The 13939-nt window shown below is 33.7% G+C and overlaps 1 long non-coding RNA gene across 1 annotated transcript; it reads right to left on the minus strand.

Moving 5' to 3' along the window:
• Positions 1-3711: 3711 nt before the first annotated feature.
• LOC107985828 (uncharacterized) lies at positions 3712-11154 on the minus strand. Its single transcript, XR_001739221.2, has 5 exons — positions 10281-11154; positions 8842-8990; positions 8647-8722; positions 5212-5280; positions 3712-4258 (listed from the first exon to the last, which is right to left on the minus strand). It is a non-coding gene; the product is annotated as an uncharacterized LOC107985828 (long non-coding RNA).
• Between the last annotated feature and the right edge of the window lie 2785 nt (positions 11155-13939).

Here is a 13939-nt window from a genome sequence, read left to right on the forward strand (position 1 = left end):
ATTTCCCTCTCCAGAAGCCAACTAAAGAGTTGCCACTAAATTTAATGTTATTACATTCCAACCATGTAAATCTTCTTCTATAAAATGACTTCTATATAAATTTCCAAATCCTTATTATAGATTTCAAATGTAATCAGCCAGCCCTACCTAATTACCTATCACCTTTTTTTTGAGCAATATCTTCTGCTGTCTTGACATGAAGCATTCAAGACATTGGGGGGAAGCACACTATTCTATCCCTCTTAGTGACAAGCTGGTCAGGTCTAACTCAACTGCCACCTTTTCCAATGAAGACATAAGCTGATTGTTATAGTCAGAAAGTAGGTTTTCTTCCTTTTTACTCTGATGAAACTTATTGTTTCAGGTTCAAAAGACATTCATCACTCAATGTGGAGTGTAATGGATGTGTTGGTATGATCTGTCTTGCTTAGCAGAGTAGAAGCTGACTAAGGAATTACTGAGACTTGGCAAGTTATTTATTCACACTTAGTTTCCTGAATGTCGAATTGGTTCAAGAACAACCTATGCTGGATTCGTGCTTTTGCTGTGTCTTTTCTTTAGAGTTCTAACTACCACTGACCTCTACCATATTTCTGGGAGGGCTTCAACTTCCTCTTTACTCATTTAACTGTAGCTAGATTTTCTCCAAAGCTCTGGATGTAGAAAATGAATGCCTCTTTTTCTCTTCTGTTCTCTTGTTTCTCCTCCTCCTCTTCTTCTTCCTCCTCCTCCTCCTATTTCTTCTTCTTACGCTCTCTCTCTACCCCCTCCTTTGGATTATGAATTATAAAAGATTTGCTGGAAAAAAAAGAGTAATCTAAAAAGTACAGAAAAAAAAAAAAACCTATGTAGTAGTTTCTTATTCTCAAAAACAGGCATTGCCTTGATGAAAAAGGTTATTAAAAAACTAAAATTAGGCAACAAAAATAAAAATTATTAAAATATGGAAACTACCTAAACATTTTTTCTTAATCAATAATACACTAAAGGCATATGTATCTGATATCTAACAAGCAAGAGAATTTAGGAAAAACAGAAAAAATTAAGAAATGATTTTAAAAGTTTTCTTCATACATCTTGAGTCTTCTGTTTAATAACTGTTTGAGAAGCAAGTGGAAAGGTCAGAGAGGGGCAAGCCAAGATGAAACAAGTGAGAGAAATGAGACTATCTGTACACTAACTTTTTGATGTTATAATTATTAAACTGCATGATGCAAGGCAGCAGCCTAATAGCAAATTAGCACCATTACTTTCCACAAGTATATTATCATATTGAGATTATTATCATGCATCCTAACAATTACATAATGTTGAAATATGATTATAAGTATAAGGTGATATGGAGCTCATCAGTTTTAATATCTGTTTGCTCATTAACTGCAAATACCTCCCAAAAACATTCCAATTTAAAAGCTACATATTGCTATAACTTTAAAACCACATATTATGTAATTCTGTCTATTTTGTAGTTTTCCCAGAGGTCAAGAAAAATAAATAAATAAAGCAACCAAGCTAATTTTCAAAATCTAAAAGTTTCTTATAGAAATTTTGATTTTGAGCCTACAGTTAATGAAAATCCAGACAACCAGGCAAAGAAAATATTTAGAAATCAATAAGTATATGCCAAGTGATTAGATGATTAAAAATGAATAGAAAAATGAGCCTCCTGTTTTATAGCACTAATATTGTAATAATTGATCAAAAGTAAATATTAAAGTTACATTAAACATGCAAAACTGACATTCCAAGTATTTATCATTTTGCAACTTATTCATAGCTGAAAATAGTCACTCAGTTCTAAAGTGCACACTAACGTATTTTTCAGTTTTGTGAGCTTAGTCTCAAACATCACATTTCTTCAGATTTCAGGCTAGGCTTACCTGTCTTTAAAGCCAGGAGATAGACATAAACAGAGTAACAAACAGTTACTAAACATTCAATTCCATGCATTGTGCAGCATCAGCATAAAATAAAATTTCTAGCTCTGTCTGTGCAATTTCAAATATTATACGGCTTTGCTTATTGCTTTCCTGCTTGATTACTTAATTAGGCATATACATATGCTTAAGACTTTGCTAAGAATACATATACATATATACATTTTTATATGTATATATTTGTATATACATACATACATTTTATAGGTATATATTTCTGTATACATATATACATTTTTATATGTATATTTTGTATATATACACTTTTATATGTATATATTTGTATATACATATACAAACATAATATAAATATACAGATATGTATATACAAAATACGTATATAATATATTGCATAAATACAAAAATTTGTATATAAATATATGTCTATAAGTATACATATGTATTTATGTGTATATGTATATTTAGTTTTATGTTTATATAAAATATTTTGTATATTTTATAATATATAAATTGAAATATATAAATATATTATAAATCTATAAATATACATATAATAGATAAATTTATTTATTTCATAATTTGATAATATATTAATTTATTAATATAAATTCATGCATAGATCTAAATATTTTATGAATATTATATATTTATATAGTTTTATATTGGCAAAGTCTTCAATCCCTAAAAATGTTTACTAACCTTCCTACAAATTTCAGAAACACCAGAGACTTTACGCCTACTACTTATCTCTAAATTTAGGGAAAGAATAACAGATACTTTTAAAAACTCATCTGAATAAGTAAAAATAAATATTAGCAAAACTTGGTGCAAATATCAGCAATTATATGAAATATTTTTGAAATTCAAGATATTAAATACTATTGAATTGTCAGCCATTTTTTAATTTGCTTAATATTAAATGCTTAGTACAAATTATTAAACATTCATGACATGTCAGGCAGGAAGATGAGGAAGTCTGGTCATTTATCCTTAAGGAGATCACAGACTTGCAAGATAAACATATTAGGGGATAATTAAAATACAGTTTGATAAATACGTAAAGTTTTGAGCCAGTTACATTAAAAATTCAAGGGAAGAGTGACTAATTCTTTCAACAGAGTTACAAAAACCTTCAAAAAGGAAGTGATACTTCATTTAAAACCGACAAAAACATTCCAACACAAAGAACAGGGCAAGAATCATTACATGTCATAGTATTATTATAAAATGGCATAGGGTATGTTTAGATATTTGTAACTTATTGAGATGGTAAATATGCTTATAGAGTAAAAAAGGAAACCCCATCATTAATAGCCTTTATCACACATTTTTATTAGTAGTTAATAGACAGTTATAGAATTTTATAAATTGAGGTATAGAATTTTTTGTGTTTTTTTGTTTTTGTTTATTAATCTTTTATTTATTTATTTATTTGAGATGAAGTCTCACTCTGTTGCACCGGCTGGAGTGCAGTGGTGCGATCTCGGCTCGCTGCAACCTCCTCCTCCCAGGTTCAAGTGATCCTCCTGCCTCAGTCCCCCAGTAGCTGGGATTACAGGCACGTGTGCCAACATGCCCAGATAATTTTTGTTATTTTTAGTAGAGACGGGGTTTCGTCATGTTGGCCAGGCTGGTCTCGAACTCCTTACTTCAGGTGATCCACCCACATCAGCCTCCCAAAGTGCTGGGATTACAGGCGTGACCCACTGCGCCTGGCCGATTATTCTTTTAAGTTCAGGGGTACAACTGCAAGTTGTTATATAGGTAAACGTGTGTTGTGGGAGTTTGCTGTGCAGATTATTTCATCATCCAGTTTTGTTTTGTTTTGTTTTGTTTTGTTTTGTTTTGTTTTTGATAGGGAGTCTTGCTCTATCGCCCAGTCTGGAGTGCAGTGGCGCGATCTCAGCTCACTGCAAGCTCCGCCTCCCGGGTTCTCGCCATTCTCCTGCCTCAGCCTTCCGAGTAGCTGGGATTACAGGCGCCGGCCGCCACGCCCAGCTAATTTTTTTGTATTTTTAGTAGAGATGGGGTTTCACCGTGTTCACCAGGATGATCTCCATCTCCTGACCTGGTGATCTGCCCGCCTCAGCCTCCCAAAGTGTTGGGATTACAGGCGTGAGCCACCACGCCCTGCCTCCATCACCCAGTTTTAAGCCTAGTACCCATTGGTTATTTTTTCTGATCCTCTCCCTCTTCCCACCATTCACCCTCTAAAAGGCTTCAGTGTGTGTTGTTCCCCTCTATGTGTCCATATATTCTCATCATTTAGTTCCCATTTATAAGTGAGAACATGCAGTATTTCGTTTTCTGTTCTTGTGTTACCTTGCTAAGGATAATGGCCTCCAGCTCCATCCATGTCCCTGCAAAGGACATTATCTTGTTATTTTATATGGCTGGATAGTATTCCATGGTGTATATGTACCACATCTTTTTTATCCAGTCTATCATTGATAGGCATTTGGGTTGATTTCATGAGCAATCCCATTACTGGGTACATACCCAAAGGAATATAAATAATTCTATTATAAACACACATGCACATGTTTGCTCATTGCAGCACTATTCACAGTAGCAAAGAGGTATAGAATTATAGTATAAAATTATTAGTATTTTCATTAATTCATTTTCATTAGTATCATTGTTTTAATACCCTCTAAATGGCAGACACTGCCCTAGATCCAATTATACAAGGTCAAATTATACATAGCCTCATTTTTCAAGAGTGGGAAAATCAGTGGAAGAAACTGTCAAAAGATTATTTTACATTATCCATCATTTATGTTGCCCTAATCTTAGATTTTTTTCAGATAATATGATAATACCTAAGATAATATATGGTATTATACAGCAATATCATATTTTAAAGTTCAGAAAAATACACAAAAGAGGCAAGTAAGGAAAAAGTAGACTGGCAGTGAGGCTAAAATTCATGATGTAAAGATACAGCTCTCTAGTACTTGGCCATAGTTGGTGGCTCTAAGTACTTTTGCACCCAAAATGAATAGGTAAGACTTGGCAACTACACAGTTCACCATGTTTACCAATTTTTTTTTTTTAGGCTGAAAACCACCACTCTATTTTACCACAAGTTCAAACTGGAATTTCTCAGAGACCTCATAAAGACTACATTGTATAATATAATGTGTAATATCTTAAGCAATATGAAATAAGCAATAAGGAGTTTAATAAGAATATTTTGTATAAAATCACTCATATTATATAAACATATAGATCACAACAAAATATAATTAAGTGAAAACACATGAACCAATAGTTTAACATGCTATTGGATTAATATTGCTTCTTTGCATACCTCAAATGAAAGTTTCTTTTGTTGATACTGTCATAATCAGTTGAAAAGCAGTCTAAAATGCAATGCCATCTGTTGAAAAATAAAAATGAAATTGTTCATACTACATATCTGGGCAGATTTTCTTAAAATGGTGCAACACAAAATAGAGAAATCATCTGAATGCTAAGGTTGTTTTGTATTGTCATTCATAATATCAAATTTTACATTTTTTGGCTAAATACCTGCATTATTTTCATTGACTTTCAAAATGTCAGTTTTATCTGTTTTACATGCTGAGGTTCTATACAAGATCTCATCCAAAGAAAATGTTCTACTGTTGTTTTTTTTTTAAGTATCAAAACCTTTATTGCAACCCTTTACTGCTCAAAGTTCTCTCAGCAAAACTTTGTGACAATGCAGACATTTCCTTTCCCTGAAGGTCCCCACTTTAATCAGCCTTCTCTTGCTGGGGCCAGTCTTTAATCTCTGTCCTTAACAAGTGTTTATGTGGCAGAGTCATGTGAATTAGTATCACATCAATGCTGCCTTACATCAAATTTGGGAGCCTGAATATTGGGGAGATATGTGCTTAAACTGTTGGTGATGATGGCTTGGAAGAATATATTAAATGATGAATGTAATGTCTGAAAAGAATACAGTTTTGATTTGAACATTGTGGAAGGATGTCATTAGAACAAATCCCTAATATTAGAAACTATTCCTGTGTGACTTTAGAGTTAGATAATCCTTATCATTTTTCACCTACTTTTTAACTATTGTGGAATCTTATAACATCAAGGTTCAAGACTGATTTATATCTAATGCACTAATCTTATCACATCAGGATTTTTTTTTTTTTTTCTGAGATGGGTTCTCTTACTATGTTGCCCAGGCTGGCCTCAAACACCTGGGCTTAAGCAGTCATCCTGCCTCAGTCTCCCTAGTAGCTGGGACTACAGACTTTTTCCAGTGCATTAGGATTTTATTTGACAAAATCACTTTTCCAGTGATTCTCTTGAATCACAGTGTGAAAAAAATGTTCTGCAGTTTGATTGTAAGCTTTTCTCAGTTGTATTCAGTCAGAATATTTTTAAACCTGGGCTGGGAACACTAGTAAAACTTGGAGAGCCAGTAATATGATTTCTGATGTGTAGTTTATCATCTTATTCTTCATCCCTAAACTCCAGATAGAAGAGATGAACAGTTATCTGATTCCACAATGGTCCCATTCAATAGAAGAACATCCATTTTAAAATGTTGCTTTAAAAGCAAACTATTTATTTTATATTCCTACAGAACTTTTCAGAATTTAAGCCTATGTTAGATACTAACTGACAATAGCAGATTTATCCAAAGTTAGGAAAAAGAATTAAAAACAAACACTTTGGCTTGTGGTATCAAAATTGAATTACTAACTTTTAAATTGACCTCAGTAGAAAATAAAAAAAAAAATAGCAATACTAAATACAAATACAAACACTAAATACAAAACTAAATACAAAAACAAACTGAACAGTGCCGAACAGTTCATGGGACAATACCCAGAGTAAATTAAACCAAAGAATATTTTTAAACCCTGAAAGGCATAGGTACTGCTGTTATAAAGATGATCATGTCCATGAAAAAGTGTTCTTTAAAAGCAATATCCCCATTTTGTTTAGGACACAGCATTTATTGGGTTAAAGCAAACTCACCTTTTCAACAAGGACAGCTAGATATATTTTGACAGCACCAAGCAATTGGTTAGCTCTCCTGAGTAAAAAACAGTGCTGTGTAGACTTTTTTCCCAATCAATTATTTTTAAAATGATCAAACTGTGTCATATTATTTGTAATGCTATTAAGAATAATATCTAAAGTACTTAAACTAATTATGCCTATTTTGTAAGATTAATTATCATTAATAATTTAACATATTTTATCATTTAAGTCAGTATCCGTTCTGATCTTTAACTTTAGAGAGCGCACTGTATATGTACCACATAATTAGGGCTTATGTATCACATAATTAAGGCTAAATACTAGGAAATCAGACTAATGAGACCAAATCAAACTGAATTATTTAAGCTTTTTTCCTTTAATTTTAGAGGTAGAATATTTAGTAATTAAACACTGATTTCATTTTCGTGAACTTGCATATGTCTCCTTTGTTTCTGAGGTCCTTGCTGCAGAACAAGCCTTCCAAAGTGTTTCCCTGAGAAGTGAAGGGGAAAAAATCTCTCACTGGCCACAACTGGGGGCAAAATAATTAACACAGGCAGGTGGTTACAGCTTTTTTCTCTCCCCTTTTTCTGCCACTCTAATATCTTGGGGTCTTCATTGTTTGTTTGTTTTTTTCCAGTTTCCCAAGGACCTATGTGGCTTCCTATCTTTTTATATTCCATTCTCCCAGGACCTGGCTGCTGTGATGGGGAATTAAGAGCTATGAAATGAGCAATATTATTCAGGAGTTCCAGTTCTATGAAGAAATGTTTTAGGCAAAGGGACTTTGGCATTCTTTTTTACCACATTATTCATTCACTCCTTCATTCATTCTTTGAACAGATATTTATGAATGTCTACTATGTGCTAGTCTCAATTGTTATACAACAGAACTGGTGAGATTTTTATATACCCGTCTGATAAACAACAAATTGCATTTGTGGGTGTCATTTCATAAGTATTCACTGAGTGCCTCCTATATTTCCTGAGACCTGGCTAGTAGCTGCTAAAGATAGAGTGGTAAGCAAGAGTGACAAGAGCTTTGTTCTCATAGAGCTGATGGTCTTTCTGGGAAGACAATTACAGAATTTAATAAAATGCATTATGATGGGAGAAATATAGGGTCATGGAGGAAGACCAAACTTCAATTGAGTTAAATAACACTTCCTGTAGGAGGTTTCATTTAAGCTAAGGCCTGAAGGATGGTGAGAAATTTGGTATTCATATGTGCATGTGTGTGAGGGTGAGAAACAGCTGGCAAAACATGGATTATGAGAGAATGTTGCAGACAAAGGAAACATTTCTGAAGGCTGAATGTAGGACAGCAGCATGACTTGATCCCGAAACAGCAACAAATTCAGTGTAACCAGAATGGTTAACATTAAATGAGTCTGGAGATGTAAGTAAAACAATTGCCTAGACACACATCAGACCAGAAACTGAGGCCTTGTAGCCAGTTAAGTACTAGGAATAGATAAACTTTTAACTCAATTTCTCTTTACAAAGTTGCCATTATATATGCTGACCCTCTGCACAAACAGAACATAAGTATTTATTTGAAAAACTTCCTTGTTTTATAAAAATTATAATTTTTAAAAAGCAATCGCCTCTCAATGCTTAAAAAAAGTGCATTTTTATAAAAACAATTGATGTACACGCACACTTTCTAAGCTATAATTGCAAGAGGTGTTGTGGTTCAAAAAGACCCAAAAGGAAGCATAGACAATATTACTCTGAGGAGTTGTATCAAATTTACCATAAGGATCTTTGGCAGTATTTCTGCTCCTCTTCTTCCATTGCAGTGTAAGCCAGGGGCCTAGTTGTGGAAAGTCCTGTGTGGTAATCACACACAATCAGTGGGGTTATTTTTGCACATTTTTAGTATGGAAAGTAAAAGGCAATATAAACTCTTTATTGACAGATAACTTACTGGGCGCTTTCATCTTTTTACCTTTTTGTTTTGTCTTCAGTTTCACTCCTCCATGACAATGTATTTTTTCTGGGCCTCACTTCCTTTCTCCTCCCCTGGATCTGGCCCCATAAGAGCTGCGCTCAGATATGGCTTTTTACACGGGAAGCCAGAAGCAACGTGAAGGATGCCTTTCAGAAGGAAATGAGAGCAGTATGACATGGCTATTGCTGGGGAAGGTTGCTATGATTCTGAACTAAGACAGTAGGAGTGGGAGTAGAAGGCAGCAGCCAGGTCTGAGAGATACTTGTGAAGTAGAAGTGATAGCTTGGGTGACCCAGCTAGGGAATGGCTTCTACCAGAGGGAGGAGTCAATAAAGATTCAGATTTTTATCATCTGACAACAATGAATAAGGAATGAAGTATAGATTTGGGGGGCTTAGTAAATTCAACACTTTTACATTTTAACTGGATTTCATTATTTTATTTCTTGTGCTTTCCCCAAGGGGAGAAGCATTCAACTTTGCAGTGCTTCTAAAGTATGCTAAAATATCAGTGTGATTTAAATGATCACTTATATTTTCACACAATTAAATACAGCGATTAAGTCACTTTTCATATAGACAAACTATCTGCAAAGTTGTTTCTATCAGTCAATCTTGAAACTTCAACAGGAAGACCTATTAGCTGATCCCTGACATATGCACAATTGTTGTCAGGCATTATTCCCGGCTGCTAGCCAGTGTGATTGGCAGCACAGCTCTTATTCCAGTACTGAGGTAGTTCTTTGGGATCAGTAAAAATCCCTCTGAGATCTGCCTACCTCACTTCTGCCGTTATCTACCTAGTCAGTGATAGCAAGGCATTGAGGAAATTAAAAAGTAATGTATCTTCTCAGAAGAGTTAGTATCCCTTATATGATTCAGGACACACACAAGTCTTGGTAAGCCCTTACCAAGAAATTGAAAATACTGGAAAGAGTAAAGAAGAGTCATTTCTCCTCAATGTTAAGAATGGCCTAAATCTAATTCACATATTTATTTTACCTTATCCATTTATCAGTGAAGAGATCGTTAAGTAATTTTTGCAAACATATTTTTGACATGTTCTGGCTCTTTCTGGTGGTCTCAAAACTGACCATTACCTGGAATTGTTTTTCTTTCAAACCAGGAAAAGAAAATAAGACCATCACTACCACAATATTCATCTTGGGTTGCACAAAATGACATATACAATTTGAACCAGGAGACAAATATAATAATACTTTACAGATGAATCTCTTTTTTTTCCAAAGTAGATTTAGAAGAAATTAGGAATAGAAAAAAGTCTTAAAGCAGACTCAAGGAAATAGAGTTCTTCATTTATCACAGAAACAAATAATACAGTAATGACATAATTTCCCATAATATCACTTGATCGAGTCAACCTATTTCACTCATTTTATTATATAGACCTTCAATGTTTTAGATCTGTCCTGTCACCTGTCAATTCATGCTTCATTATGTTGCTCTTCAGTGTCATTCAAGGTTGGCTTCCTCCCCAACAGCTATTCCTGTCCAAACAGGAATCATGCATGCCATTTCTGTCTGCAGTGTCAATCCAAACATGATTTCCCATAATTGTATATTGCAGAAATCATAGTGAGCTGAATTCTCTCTGCAAAAGAGAAGAAAAAGCTCAGAACTACCCAGAAAAAGTGAATCTCCTACCATTTTACATTTGCTGAGTGGTTATAAATTAAGATACATTGTTTGCCCCACTTCACAGTTCCAGAGTGCTACTACAAGAGCCCTTTACACAATCAGCAACCTTATCATGCAGTATTTTTTAGAGTATAGTGTGGACAGAACAAGCAGAACAGAATCTATTAATTTCCCAGAGTAGAGCTATTTTATTAGTCTCCTGCAATATCTTCATGGACTCACAAGTCTATTCGATACATAGGACAACCTTCCAAATTTAGTATTTAAGTTTCAGAACTGCATAGTCTGTTTTCTCTGCTACCTATGAGACAAAGGCTGCTGTGATAGTTCTGCAAGGCATAGCTACCATGAACCCATACATAGTTTTCTAATCACACCATCTCTTGTTACTGACATGGTTTCTGTCTTTTTTGCCACTCATAGTCAGGTAAAGAAGTAGTCATAATGAAACAAGCCAACATTTATACACCTACAATGCACCAAGGACTATTACCCTTTAATCTTGACTTCCATCTTAACAGTTTAATTATCTAAAATGTACTCAAAAGAAAAATGAAGATAGAAATGATTGTTCTGGAACAAAGTCCCATAGATAATAAGTAGTAAAGGCCAGATATTAACCTAGGTTCTTGTGGACTTCAAAACTCCTGTTTTGTACCCTTTACAATATTGCATTCAATACAGAAATTTTATGTTTAAGGATCATTAGGTTTAACCTCCACATTTTACAGATGCTGAAACTATGCCATGTACTGGTTCAATGACTAAATCAAGGTCACACAAACATTTCTTAGAGCTAACACTTAAACTCATGATTCCTTCAACTCTCTTCTGTATCATGTTCAACTAAAACGATGATAATAGATATTACAACAATCATAAGTATTATTATTGCCATTGCTAATTGAAACCATACTTCTAGTTAGCGATGGAACTTCTGTGGGACTACCGTATTATTCCCCATGGTCGCATTATCTCACGCTTCCTTGAATAATAGCATATTGAGCATGGACTATGCGTCGGCTCAGTGAAAAAGTGGTATCATTAGAATCAGAGTTTCAGAAGCTTTTCCTTCCAGTGTCTTAAGACTTTACGTTTTCAAATACAATTGTGTGTCTATGAATGAACAGCAGTGCTTATTTGATCTTTTCACTACAATTAGCTTCGCTAGGACTAGGTTATTTCTAAACAGAAGGAAATAGAATACTCTCATTTGATGTTCTGATAAAATGCTGATACCTTCTCTGTTCTTTTTTCTTTCTTTCTTTCTTTTTGGGAAAGGAGGAGAGGATCTATATCATTCATCAGATTTTCAAAAGGTTAGACTTCTTACTGTGTGGGGATAAATTAAGTTTCATTGTAGTATTATCAGCCCAAAATACATGGGCCATATAGAAAATATATGATCATAAGGGCATTTTGCATATGTTTGCCCACCTGGAACAGTAGATGTAGTGCATATTCTCCTAACCTTCCTCACATAGTGCTATGCAAACATTTCACTGAATTGATTTTTTTTAGCCAGGCATTATTCCAACGTTGAAGCTCCATAGGAAAATGGAAATGCCAGTGCAAATTTCTATTTTTGATTTAACTATCTATGAATCCAAGTTTGAACTGGGAAAAAAATCACAACAGGATAATACCAGATAATGGCAAGTCTCACAATGATTGTTGCCTTATAACATCATTTTGAGATCAGGCACAAAGATTAAATTAGGACCCATTAATAGAAAAATTTTTAGAGGAACTTGAGCTCAAATTATACCAATCTGTTACTATTCCAAAATAAACGCATCAGGTGGCATTTAAATGCAGGTGGTTAACCGTTTTATCAGTGCAGATATTTAAGCTATTAGAAATATAATTAGAAAAATTAAATTAAACACACTTAATGTAGATTCTAATTCTAGCAGCACTGTCCTTAGCATTATGCTATTTCTATTGTAGATTATAAAATGTGCCTAAATTGCACAGATTTGCTTCTGAGTGATAGCTGAACTTAGATAATTAAGTTGTTAACCATGAACTTCAGTGGTCAACATGGTTATATATCTTTGTCTTAATCCTGCTCCTCCTTCTTGTTTCCACAAATCTCAGGGGAGGCAGATGAATGGCACTTGACTCTACCCAGCAACAGAGTCGACTGATTAGACATAGTCTTGTACCGCAGGTACACTCAATTATATGCCTTTTGGAGAGTCAAGCATTCCCTGAAGCTAAAAGTGTTGAATCTGTTGATATCACATATTTTATAGGAGGAGAAAACTGACCAAACATATTTAAACCTTCAATTTTATTTCATAACATACTTCCTTCTTCTGTTTAACACAGGAGGTAAGGAGTTTGTTGAGATAAAAAGGATAAATCAATTCTCTTCCAAATAATTAAGTCATTAACTGGACAATGACTTCAATTTTAGTAATCAAGTCATCTGTGCTGGGAAAAATGTGACATTACATTCAAGGCACAATTTAGTGTCCATTATGACACAACCTATATTTAATTTTTAAGATGTCAAATAGAACAAATTCGAGAAAAGCATACTGCCAAAGCAATCATATTTTCTTCTATTATCCTCACAATAGAAAAGTACTTAGTAAGCACTGTTATTAATGTTGCTTGTATAGTAATAAAGCTGCTCAATGCTGAAGATAAGCTTGGATGCATTAAACGCTAATAGTAAATACATACAAATAAAATTCCAATGAATTTTTTCCCCCACAAATTGTAATATACCTTCATTTTAGCCAAAACTTCAAGAAGCTCTTGAATATGCTGAAATTTCCAACTTGAAATAGTTCTAGAAATGGCAAATCAATGCCTTTTAACAAGATATAAGAAGAAGCCTAGCAAGTATCAGTAAATCTTAGCAATCAAGGGATCCTTTCCATGAGCCATTTCCTGAACAACACTATTGGCAAGTCCTTTGATTCCTGAACTTTATCGTAAGCTAACCACAAAACATTTTATGTCTATTTTGGCTTTAATGAAGGTAGATGTGATTTCTGAACAAGTTCAGGAAAGTACTTCTTTCAAGCAGGGAAACTGCTTAAATTAATTAAGCTAATTAGGTTAATGAATAATTAAGGTAATTCTTTCACTCTTCCTCCACAATTCAATCTCTTCATTTCTTAGTCATAAGTCTCAAATGGTGGTATTAGGATTCCTAAATACAATCACAAATTATATTTCTGTTTAATATTCTACATCACAATCAAGTCTATTTTTTAATTTTTTTTCTGAGATAGCTTAAATAAGAATGAGTCACCTCTCAAATATTGAGTATCTCTCTAATTAGGAAATGTCAATATCATAAACTAAAAATTAGTTTAAAATAGAGAACATATTTAGATATAAATAATAAATACTTTTAAAAAATCACTTATTTGAAATATAATAGGTTCATGAGCACCTGCCTTTCAAACCCTAGGCTC

The sequence above is a fragment of the Homo sapiens genome, chromosome 2, assembly GCF_000001405.40.
Source record: "Homo sapiens chromosome 2, GRCh38.p14 Primary Assembly".
Lineage (NCBI taxonomy): Eukaryota > Metazoa > Chordata > Mammalia > Primates > Hominidae > Homo > Homo sapiens.